The following is a 12,826-nucleotide window of genomic DNA, read 5'->3' as shown; positions in this document are numbered from 1 at the left end:
CTTCTTCACTCAGTCTACTGATTCAAATGCTGACCTCTTCTGGAAATACCCTCACAGACACACCCAGCAGTAATGTTTTACCTGCCCAGCTATCTGGGCAGTTCTTAGCCCAGTCAAGTTGACACATTAAAATTAACACACAGGTAAATGTTATTGGGCACTTATTTTAACATAAGTGCCTACTAGCTTATTGGGCACTGAAGAAACTGTTCTAAGCACTTCTGTATATTAACTAATTTAACCTTGATAACAACCCTATTCAGAAGAGTTCATTAGTATTCGTTTTTCACAGATGAGTAAATGCATGCACAGAAAGGTCAGGTGATTTGCTTAAGGTCAAGTAGCTAGTGTGCCAGTTATTAAGTTATGGACTCTCAGCTCTAAACCCACCCTTCTGTACGCTGCTTTGTGGAGCTGGGGACGAGGTTCAGAAAAGCACATTTTTGCCTTGCCAACTGGATTCCCATTATGCTCTACAAGGCTGGAGGGACGTGGCCCTTTCTGTTTGTTGCTTGCCTCACTTTCCATGCATGTGCTATTCCCCCATTAATGCTTGTTCTCCCTGCCAGGAGCAATTTTTTCCAGCTGCAGTAGCTGAACCCACTTTACAGTTTTTTTCACCACTTGCAGGACAAGCTCAATCGTATGCCCCCAAAGCAACACCAGCCGGCCAGCCGTCTTCTCAGAGGTCTCTGTTTTTGTTCCAAGGGGCCCTCTACTAAGGTTCAAAGATTTAACCAACTCACACTCATTTTGTTCCCTCAGTCGTAGGGGCTGTCATGTGTCCTGCAGTTGCTACCTCTGTGATACCTTTGAGATTTCTTCTTACACTTTCAGTTACCTAATTAACAACTTTATACCTCTTTAACAATAATTCCTATTAAATTCTCTCTGATGATTGAAATAGTCTGTGGGCTCTGCATCTTGGCGGCCCCCTGACCAATGCATCTGGGAAGAGGCAGAAACAGAACACTATACCAGCAGCTGTGTGCAGGAGTAGACCATTATTATATACAGCCTCTCAGCTATTATTACATAATTACATATCCATACACAGCAGCTATTATCTTTGTGTGTCTGTTTGATTGATTTTTTTGACACAGGGTCTCACTCTATCACCCCGGCTGTAGTGCAGTGGCAAGATCATGGCTCCCTGCAGCCTTGACCTCCCAGGATCGGGTAATCCTCTCACCTCAGCCTCTCAAGTAGCTAAGACTAGAGGTATGTGCCACCATACCCAGCTAATTGCAGTAGTTATTATCTTTAGTACAAACTGACTTATGACGTAGCTGGCCAATGTTGTACTGTCAGCTCTGATGTTCTAGAGTTACAAGAAGCTAAGTACTTCAAACTTCCATGGGACCTGACTTCTAGGGACCAGTGGAAACTGACCACTAGCCTCTTCTTGTGGCCCACTGACCACTAAACGAAAGAGAAAAGAGGCAAGGAAAGCTAATAGACAGAAGATGTCCATATTTGACCCACTGAAGTTTTCTCTGGAATTCTGCACTTCCACATAGAGTAAAGGACAGAGTATTCTCCCTGGAATCTGCTAGTCCATAGCCTTGTAGAATGTCTGAGTTGGAAAGGACCCCAGAAAGCACTCAATTCAAAGCTCCCATTTTAAAAATGAGTACATTGAGGCCCAAAGAAAAGGGCTAGCCCCAAATCACACAGTGAGTTAGTGCTGGTGCCCAGACCAGAACACAGGTCTCCTGATTCCTGATCTTTCCATGGGTAAGCTTCTATGCTTTTCCTAGAGATCATGGTCACTTCTCTGAAATCTGACCTCTGCAGATAAGAATTCCCTTGCTTCTCCCTCATTCCTGTTCCTAGAAACCTGGAGAAATGGGAGTAGGAGAGGTTTTTTCCTCTGGTCTCATTCTTTATGGCTTCTGCCTCCTCTCAGGGCTGTAAGGTAACGACGATGAAGTGAGTGAGTGAGTTTGGCAAGGGCAGGGTGCGATCCCATCTTTACTTACAATGTTGATATTTTCTTCACCATTGGATATTTTTACAAAAATTCTGATTTTTAAAATATTGCACTAAAATATTATTTATCAGGACCGCTGAGTGTTTTGGTGCCTCTTTATATTTTGCTCCCCTGGTGAGTGCCTTTCTGGTCACCTCCTTGACCTGTCCCACCCTCCGTTCCTGCCCTTTGACTACATCCCCAGTCAGGTCAGTTTTTGCCACTTTGTAACCATTTTCTGACGCATGGTCCCCTTTCTGTAATACCGGAAGCATTCCTACTGATAACACAGATGATGAGTAACATGAACAACGACCACCCAGGGCCAGCTGATAGAGATTCAAGATAAAACAGGGGAATTCCTGACTTTGATGAAATGGATGCTGTGGTGCAGTGGAGCAGCATAGGCTTTGAAGTCAGAGGCACTGGGGTTTCAGTCCTGATCACACCACTTAGCAGCTGTGTGAGGAGCAGTGACTGATTGTCTGTGATCTGAAAGCAGTGGATACCCAGACATGAGCAGAGCCTACTTCCTGTTCCTACAGCAGGCACAATCCAGATGGAGGACATTGTTTGTTTCTCTGGGCCTTGTTTTCTGTAACTGAAAGTGAAAATAGCATCATCTCACAGTGAGGATTAAATATGATTCTTTACATGAAATTGCCTAGCATAATGTGGGTGCCCAGTTAAAATGTGCCTCTGCACAAGTAAATACAATCTTCACTGGAAAATTCTTGTTGACAGGAGCCATCACAATGCATACTCTTTCACTATTGAGATCCATCTTCATACAGCTACTTTTCCTAATTTAAGAAGACCCAGAAAAAAAAATTACTGAAAACTTTTCAATGGATGCCTCAATATTTAAAACAATTAAGGAGGAAGACACATTTCTTTCAGCTGCACTCAAGTCCTTCAGATTTTCATGTAGCAATTTTCATTCCAATGCCCCTGGTCCTTTGAATTTGCATTTTTACAGCAGAATCTTTGTGCTTCCTCACACCTTTCTACCACTGAACTTAGTCTTCATCCTTTAGTTCAACAATGGCCTTGAGTATGCCTTCTCATAAAGGGGTCAAGAATGACCTGAGGCCAGGTGCGGGTGGCTCATGCCTATAATCCAAGCATTTTGGGAGGCTGAGGTGGGAGGATCACTTGACTACAGGAGCTCAATACCAGCCTGGGTAACATAAAAAGACTCTGTCTCTACATTAAAAAAAAATTATCAGGGCATGGTGGCATGTGCCTGTAGTCCCAGCTACTCAGGAGGCTAAGGTGGAAGGATCACTTGAACCCCTGAGGTCAAAGCTGCAGTGAACTATGATCATTCCACTGCACTCAGACTGGGCAATAGGGTGAGATCAAGTCTCAAAAAAAAAAAAAAAAGAAGAATGTGAGAGCTATTTTGCACACTTCTGGTGTTGTGATTGCAGTATTTATCTGAAAATAATGTGGGAGCAACCTCTCCTAACACATTATGGTAGGTAGAATTCTGAGATGACCTCCAATAAGTCATGCCCTTTCATAATTTCTGGTTCCTGAGTGCAGGTGGAAACTGTGATTACTTCTAACCAATAAAATATGACAAATTGAGGATAGCCACTCCCATGATCATGATATGTCACATAAGACTCCATCATAGCAAGCTGAAATGAGAGATTCTCTTCCTGGCCTTGAGTACATGAGTTACTACGTTATGAGAAGGCCTGCAAGAGGGTCAGGTGTCTGGGAACTCTGGGTGGCCTGTACTTGTTGACAACAGCCCTGTCTGACAGCCACCAAGAAGCAAGAACCTCAGTCCTACAGCCACAAGGAACTGAATTCTTCCAACTATATGAACTTGGACAAAAAGACTCTAAGCTCTAGAAGAAATGCAGCTCAGATAGTCACTTGATTCCAGCTTTAGGAGATCCTGATCATAGGCCTAGCTAAGCTTTACTGGCTTTGGACACATGGAAACTAGGAGATAACAAACTTACATTGTTTCAAGGCACTAAGTTTATGGAAATTTGTTACACAGCAATAGAAAATTATTAATAAGTGCTCACTTTGGCAGCACATACACTAAAATTGGAATGATACAGAGATTAGCTTGGCCCCTGTGCAAGGATGACACACAAATTCGTGAAGTACTCCATATGTTTTTTGCAATCTACCCATCTGACAAAGGTCCAATATCCAGAATTTACAAGACAAACAATTTTACAGGAAAAAGCAAACAACCCCAACAAAAAGTGGGCAAAGGATATGAACAAACACTTCTCAAAAGAAGACATTTACGTGCCCAACAAACATGAGAAAAAGCTCAACATCATTGATCATCAGAGAAATGCAAATCAAAACCACAATGTGACACCATCTCATGCCAGTCAGAATGGCGATTATTAAAAAGTCAGGAAACAATAGACGCTAGTGAGGCTGTGGAGAAATAGGAACACTTTCACACGCTGTTGGTGGGAATGTAAATTAGTTCAATCATTCCGGAAGACAGTGTGGCGATTCCTCAAGGATCTAGAATCAGAAATACCATTTGACCTAGCAGTCCTATTACTGCGTATATACCCAAAGAAATATAAATCATTCTACTCTAAAGATACATGCACACATATGTTTATTGCAGCACTATTTACAATAGCAAAGACATGGACTCAACCCAAATGCCGGTCAATGATAGACTGGATAAAGAAAATGTGGTACATATACACCGTGGAAATCTATGCAGCCATAGAAAGGAATGAGATCATGTACTTTGCAGGGACACAGATGAAGCTGGAAGCCATCATCCTCAGCAAACTAATACAGGAATAGAAAACCAAACACTGCATGTTCTCACTCATAATTGGGAGTTGAACAATGAGAATACATGGACACAGAGAGGGGAACAACACATACCAGGGCCTGTTGGGGGTTGGAGGTGAGGAGAAGGAACTTAGAGCCTGGGTCAATAGGTCCAGCAAACCACCATGGCACACGTATACCTATGTAACAAACCTGCACATTCTGCACATGTATTCCATTTTTTTAGAAGAAATTAAAAAAATATAAAAGAAAATTATTAATAATACACGCAACTGGTTTACTTGAGAAGTCTGAAGTAGGGAAGCTAATTCTACATGTTTTCTTGGTACTCTCCTCTCCACATAGAAGGTGACACTAAGGGTAGACCATTGAGTCTGGGTTTGAAATTTCATTTATTCCTCAGCCCAATATTTCATATAGAATTGAATCCTCTTGCATGACCTGCTCTGTGTTCCCTTCAGTGGCTTGATTGCCTCACATCAGTTTTGTTAAGGAATGAGTGAAGCATTTCCTCCAAGTGTCTATGCAGTAATTTTGATCTAGGGGATAAGCATAGAATTCAATGGGATCTAAACATGTGATGGACTTTGAGGGAGCTGATTCCTGTATAACTTTAATCAGAAACCCTATGGAGTGAACTACAGTTAGCTTTCATTTACAACTTTTGCAAACATCAGAGACAAGGCTAATCAGAACATTCTCAAGACACATCATAAACAAATTGTAGCCATTTGTGGAACAGATCAGTTATGTATTCATCAACGGTACCAGGAGACTCTATAGAACGGCATCAGGGAAAGTCTGCAGACATCTGCCTCCCATCAGCCAGACACGTACACACGCATGCTAGCTTATCCCACCTCACAGCACAACAGTGACACCTTGATTGCAGGTTTAACTTTAGTCACTTTTTCTATATAACAAACTACCCCAAAACTCCATAGTTTAAAACAGCAATAATTTACTTTTTCTGATCATGGTGTAGATTGATTATGTGGCTCTTGTGTTCCATACAGTGTCTTGATCTTTTCAGGCTGCTATAACAAAACATTTTAAACTGGGTAACTTATAATACCAGAAATTTATTTCTTAGAACACTAGAGGCTGGGAAGTCCAAGATCATAGTACCAGTAGATTTGGTGTCTAGTGAGGGCTCCCCCTCTGCTTCACAGATGGCGCCTTCATACTGTGTCCTCACATGGTGAAAGGGGCAAGACAGCTCAGAGACTTATTTTATAACAGCATGAATCTCATTTGGCCTAATCACCTTCCAAAGACCTCACATCTTTATACGATCATGTTAGGGATTAGGTTTTAATATATGAATTTTGAGGGAAACACAAACATTTACAACATAGCACACAGTGGCATCTGCTATGGCCATTCAAGTGGTTTTGCATTCATTTGGTGGCTGGTTTCTCTCAGCTGTCTGGGGCTTTGGGGCTAACTGTCAGCTAGGGCATCTCTATTGTCCATGTGAACCCTCTCCCCTTATGGTTTCTCATCCTCACAGCTTTCTTCACGTAACCTCTCTTCTGCAGGATGGCTTGGATTTTCTTTGCAAGACAGCTGGTTGTCAAGAAGGCAAAAGAACCATCTTCCATAACTCTAAAAGGCTAAGCCTGGAAGACCACATGGTCATTTCTGCCATTTTTATATTAGTTACAACAAGTCATCAGCCAGTCAAGACTCGAGAAAAGAGGAAACTGACTCCACCCTTGATAAGAACAGTAAGATGTATGTCCAAGGAGGGGTAGAATTCTTTATGGCCATCTGTGATGACTTTCCAGAGTATTCATTTGTGAGTTTCTCCATGAGATGATTCTTATAGTTTATCTTTGATTTTAATTTTTCTATTGCTTACTAAGAGTGGTATTTAAATTGGTAAATAATTAATTTTAAGTTATATTTCATGATTTATGTAATTTATATAATGCATCTCCCACCCATATACAATCCTACAGAATACTACTGATGTGTTTCTAGGGCAGTTTTTAGACACTGATCTCACAAGTTTTAGGTTATGCCCTGATCTCCTTAAGTTTCCTTTAATATTTCATTATTGCTCTGTTACTCATAACGTTATGATCAAAGAAATAGGTCTATATTGTCTGTGGAGTAAAACTTGAGCCTCCACCCTGAGCCTTTGGCCTTTGAGATCAGTTAATGGACTATAAGATGCTCTAAGGGACACAGAGTTAGGATGGGTCCAGTGAGACAAGCCTGGTTCTGAATTCAAGTTCCATGATATCAATTCATCTTCTCTTAAAATAGTTGCATAGCTTTAAAAATATTTTTATCTTAAATATAGGGACAATAACTTCTACTTTATAATTTACCAAATAATATATGCAGAAGACTTGAAATTAGTGATAGCACCGTTGTTTATATTTCACAAATATATCTTTGTTCACTGAGATAGTTCTCACTGAGAAGGAAATTTCAGTATTACCTGGGAAAGTAACTATTTTCAGTAAAAATACATGCCTGCTACCATACCCGATTCTCTCCTAGAACTTCTCATCTTTCATATTAGAGGATTTGAATTTTATGCTATTAATGTAGAGATGATTCTGAGATGTAGCATGCTCCCAACTGAAAGCCCTTTCCTTACCAACCATTGGTATACTGCTTTATAGTATGAACATTTTCCAGCTCTCCCATTTAAACTTAAATGAAATACAAGCCGAAAAAGCATAGGGAACATCATTTCCATTGTACAGATGAAGAACTCTAAACCCAGAAAGGCTTGAAGTCTTTCCTATGGTCATTTTGTCAAGCAATCTTCTGACTTCAAGACCTATGCATTTGCATTCTGCTCTCTCCCTGAATGTTGAACAAATACAGTAATGTCATGAGACAAGGAAGAAACCAGACCATTTCCGAGCAGATTTCATGTGAGAGGAAGTTTTCTACAGACTTCATAGGTAATATTTTCACTTAATCCTAATGCATGAGAGATATATATTATCAGTTTGACTTAACAGAAGAGAAAGCTAAGTTCTGAGGAGCAATAGGCTAGCTTATACATTGGCAGATTTTAAAAATTGGACCCAGAGAAGTTAATCTTATATACCAGGCTATTTTCATTTCCCCTTATGATCTATGTGAGAGAGGGGCAAAGAAGGGACTCCGTGTATGAAGAATCTGCATATGGCTCTTTTTTGTTCTGGTCTATGCTAAGCCTTAACCTGCAACTGCACAACATGAAATGGCAGGGGGTGTCGTTTTTACCACCCTTAAGTTTGTCGTGGTAGAATTTTATCTGCAGCTATAGACTGTGCAATGAGTGCACCGGAGGTGCAGAATGTTACGAAGTCATATTTTTAGCTTGGTTTTCTAACTCTGGGGAACAGTTGTCTGCAGCAGCATGATTTAATCATGTTTGATTACTGACTTTGCACAGTTCTGTCTTCCTTACACACTGCCACCATTGGCTTCCACAGTATTAATTCATTTAACCTTAAAAAAAAATCCTGTCTCCTCAGTCTTTCTGTTATTATAGACTCACTGAAGCCCTCTATGTAAAAACATACGCCTCTGCCTTGGGAAACCATGGACACACTTTGAAATTCTTCAGGTAATCTGGAGCACACCTAATCTGGAAAAAAAAATGGTTTTCATGTAAGTTGGAGACGAGAGATGATATGGTTTGCATCCGTGTTCCTGCCCAAATATCATGTCAAATTGTAACCTCCAATGTTGGAGGTGAGGCTTGGTGGGAGGTGATTTTTCATAAATGGTCTAGCACCATCTCCCTTGGTACTGTCCTCATGATAGTGAGTGAGTTATCCTGATATCTGGTTGTTTAAAACTGTGCAGCACCTCCCATGATGGTTAACATTGAGTGTCAACTTGATTGGATTGAAGGATGCAAAGTATTGTTCCTAGGTGTGTCTGTGAGGGTGTTGCCAAAGGAGATTAACATGTGAGTCAGTGGACTGGGAGAGGCAGACCCACCCTCAATCTGGTGGTCACCATCTAGTCAGCTGCTAGCTCAGCTAAGATAAAAGCAGACAGAGGAACGTGGAAGACCTAGACTGACTGAGTCTTTTTACCTTCATCTTTCTTCTGTGATGGATGCTTCCTGCCCTTGAACATCAAACTTCAAGTTCTTCAGCTTTGGGACTCTTGGACCTTTGACCACAGACTGAAGGCTGCACTATTAGCTCTCCTAGTTTTGAGGTTTGGGGACTTGGACTGGCTTCCTTGCTCCTCAGTTTGCAGATGGCCTATTGTGGAACTTCACCTTGTGATCATGTGTGTCAATACTAATTAATAAACTCCCCCTTATATATACATCTATCCTATTAGTTCTGTCCTTCTAGAGAATCCTGACTAATACACCTCCCATTCTCTCTCTCTTGCTCCTGCTCCAGCCATGTGATGTGTGGACTTCCCCTTTGCCTTCTACCGTGATTGTAAGTTTCCCAAGGTCTCCCCAGAAGCCAAGCAAATGCCAGCACAATGCTTCCTGTACAGCCTGTGGAACTGTGAGCCAATTAAACCTCGTTTCTTTATAAATTACCCAGTCTCAGGTATTTCGTTATAGCAATGCAAGAATGATGAACACAGAGGTTTACCTCTTCTGTGTGCATCTGTTTTTGTGCATCACCTCAAAACTGTGAAGAGTTAGACAAAGCTAGAGCTAAGGGTCTCTGGGACCAGCAAGGGTGAGAGGGACTTCATGGGTGAATGTTCTGAGTAGTGAGCGCCTCATCCTCTAAAATCCAGACCCTTCCCCACTCATTTCATGATGAGGCTTTCTGTCCTTTGTCCCATAGGAGTCACTCTGAGGTGCTTGAGGTAAAAAAAAGAGGTGACACTTAATAAGTATTTTAGTCAGCTCATGCTGAATAACAAAACACCAGAGACTGGGAGCCCTAAACAAAAGGCATTTATTATCTCACAGTGGTGGAGGCTAAAAATCTATGATTAAGTCGCCAACATATTTGGTTTCTGGTGAGGGCCTCTTCCTGGCTTGCAGATGGCTGCCTTCTCACTGTGTCCTCACATGGTCTTTGTCCTGTGCATACACAGAGAGAAAAAGAGACACCTCTGGTGTCTCTGCCTCTTCTTATAAAGACATCAATCCTATCAGAATAGGGCCCCCCACCCTTATGACCACCTTAATTACCTCCTTAAAGCCCCTATCTCCAAATACAGTCATATCGGGGCTGAGGACTTCATCATATGAATTTTGGGGTGGGGACGAATTAGCTCATAAAAATAAGTAATAGCTATTAAAATATATGAGACACTATGTGGCAGGCATCATACTGTGGAATTTTATATTTCATTCAATTCTGGTAAAGTCTTCATATACATACATACATACATACATAAACACGCATATATGTATGAGTATGTGTGTATATGTATCTATAATCTCATTTTAAAGGTAAGAAAAATGAAAGAGGGGTTAAAAACTCACCACTGAGAGTAAATAAGGGCCAGATCCAGGATTTGAATCAGATGTGTTTGTCTCCAAAGATACTACCCCAAGTCTCAGTATCTCTCTCTCTCTCTCTCTCTCTCTCTCATTTCTGCCTATGTTACAGCAGCAATGGTTCTCTCAAACAGAAAATCCATCTCATACTAGAACTGAGCTGAGCATCAGAGCAGCCCTGCCTCTAACCAAGCCATACCAGGCCCACTTGGCTTTTCCATCCTTCCCACCCAGCCTCATCTGCCTCCAGTTGGGAACTCATTTTAAACTGACATCAGGTGTTGGGGCAAAGGTCGAGTGGTAACGAAAGCTGTGAAATAAGTTTAAATGATGGGAAATACTCCCCAAATGCTTAAAAAGAGAGCCAATTTATATAAAAGCTGAGGAATTCCACTGTGTGTATGTGTGTGTGTGTGTGTGTGTCTGGGTGGAGTGAAGGATGTAGGGAGTGAGGAAGAAAAACAGGAAGGAAGAGAAGGTAAAGTGAGGGGGTAAGGAGAGAGTGAGAAGAAGAGAGAGATTGAAAACCAACTCTTGCTCAAACCATTAAAGAAGGGAAAAACTGCTGAATAAGACCATTCATTATTCTCTTTTTGCACTTCAAACAAATGGTAATTGTTGGTTTAGCTAACAAGTTGTGCCTTAATTACAGGCCATTAGGCACCATTAATAAAGAAAACCAAATCCACAAGAATCTGAATCTCATGTCTTACATTTTATTCCCTAGAAAGGAGACCTACTCTAAAAGGATTTAAAACTCTGCCTCTAAACCATGTAACAGCTCAGTGATGCTCACTGTCCCATAGCTTTGCTCAGGCATTACTTTCTCTGAGAAGCCTCCTCGCTCTTCCCTCCCTCCCCCAACAGCAGCCCTGCTGCCTTGAGTCCTGACTGATTAAAGTAGTCCTTCCTTCTGAGGAGTCTCAGAAGGAGGTACTGATTTTGACCTCACCTGCATGGCCTGTCTGCCTCTCTGTCCTTCCAAATAGTCTTTGAACTACCTGCAAAGAGTAACACTTTTTTTTAAATCCTACTGGACATGGAAATAATAAAAATAATTACTACTCCTCTTATTTGTTGAATCCTCTATACACATCCTTCTATTTACTTTTTTATAAAATGTAATTCTCTCAACAATCCATTAGTGTGGGTATAACTGCATCTTTTTAAGGATAAGAAAAGCAAGGCTCAGAGTGGCTAACTAACTTGCCTACGGCCATGAAGCTGGTAAGAGGCAGGGCCAGGACTGAAATCTACAGCTCATGCTCTTGCCAGAAGCAAAATTAGGTAGAAAAGTGCTAAATGTTTAGTTGTCTATTTACAATGTGAACTCCTTTTTGCCAGTTGTATTAGTCCTTTCTCATGCTGTTAATAAAGATACACCTGAGACTGGGTAATTTATAAAGGAAAGAGGTTCATTGGCTCACAGTTTACCATGGCTGGGGAGGCCTCATGGAACTTGTAATCATGGTGGAAGGCACCTCTTCACAGGGCAGCAGGAGAGAGAATGCATGCCAAGCAAAGGGGGAAGCCTCTTATAAAACCATCAGGTCTCATGAGAACTCACTCTCTATCACAAGAACAGCATGGGGAATGCTACCCCCATGATTCAATTATCTCCACCAGGTCCTACTCTTGACACATGGAGATTATTATAATTCAAGGTGAGATTTGGCTGGGGACACAGAGCCAAACCATATCATTTTCCCCCATGGACCCTCCCACATCTCATGCTCTCACATTTCAAAACACAATCATGCCTTCCCAACAGTCCCCCAAAGTGTTAACTCATTCCTGCATTAATCCAAAAGTCCAAGTCTAAAGTCTCATCTGACACAAGGCAAGTCCATTCTGCCTATGAGCCTGGAAGATCAAAAGCAAGTTTGTTACTTCCCAAATACAATGGGGATACAGGTATTGAGTAAATACACCTGTTCCAAATGGGAGAAATTGACCACAACAAAGGGGCTGCAGGCCCTATGCAAGTCCAAAATCCAATAGGGTAGTCATTATACCTTAAAATTCCAAAATGATCTCCTTTGACTCCTTGTCTCACATCCAGGTTACACTGATTCAAGAGGTGGGCTCCAACAGCCTTGGGCAATTCTGCCCCTGTGGCTTTGCAGGGTACAGCCCCCTTCCTAGCTGCTTCCATGGGCTGTCATTGAATGTCTGCAGCTTTTGCAGGTACAGTGTGCAAGCTGTCAGTGGATCTACCATTTGGGGTCTGGAGGACAGTGGTCCTCTTCTCACAGCTCCACTAGATAGTGTCCTAGTGGAGACTCTACGTAGGGGATCCCACCCATATTTCCCTCCTGCACTGCCCTCACAGAGGTTCTTCATGAGGGCTCTGCCCCTGCAGCAAACTTCTGTCTGGACATCCAGGAGTTTCCATACATCTTCCGAAATCTAGGCGAAGATTCATGAACCTTAATTCTTGACTTCTTTGCCCCTTAAGGCCCAACACCATGTGGAAGCTGCCAAGGCTTGAGGCTAGCACCCTCTGAAGCACTGGCCTGAGCTGTACTTTGGCCTCTGTTAGCCACGACTGGAATGGCTGGGATGCAGAGCACTAAGTCCGGAGGCTGCACACAGCAGTGGGGCCC

General features: G+C 41.9%; 1 long non-coding RNA gene and 1 pseudogene across 1 annotated transcript in view, besides 1 other annotated feature; one reads left to right on the top strand and one right to left on the bottom strand.

Annotated features, from left to right (window-relative positions):
* MIR3681HG (MIR3681 host gene) overlaps positions 1-12,826 on the bottom strand; it is a 571,233-nt gene that overhangs the window by 162,835 nt on the left and 395,572 nt on the right. The gene's annotated exons all lie outside the window — the stretch shown is intronic.
* Positions 2,599-2,648: an enhancer, noted in NCBI's record as "active region_15338". NCBI's record gives its function as "activates an Ori minimal core promoter by ATAC-STARR-seq in GM12878 lymphoblastoid cells {active_cell/tissue: GM12878}" and the evidence as "EXISTENCE:reporter gene assay evidence [ECO:0000049][PMID:35858748]".
* On the top strand, positions 4,013-4,116 carry RNU6-843P (RNA, U6 small nuclear 843, pseudogene; annotated as a pseudogene).

The sequence above is a fragment of the Homo sapiens genome, chromosome 2 (genome assembly GCF_000001405.40).
Source record: "Homo sapiens chromosome 2, GRCh38.p14 Primary Assembly".
NCBI classification, from domain to species: Eukaryota; Metazoa; Chordata; class Mammalia; order Primates; family Hominidae; genus Homo; species Homo sapiens.
The sequence above is the reverse complement of the archived record's forward strand: the minus strand, read 5'-3'. Positions and strand labels throughout refer to the sequence as shown.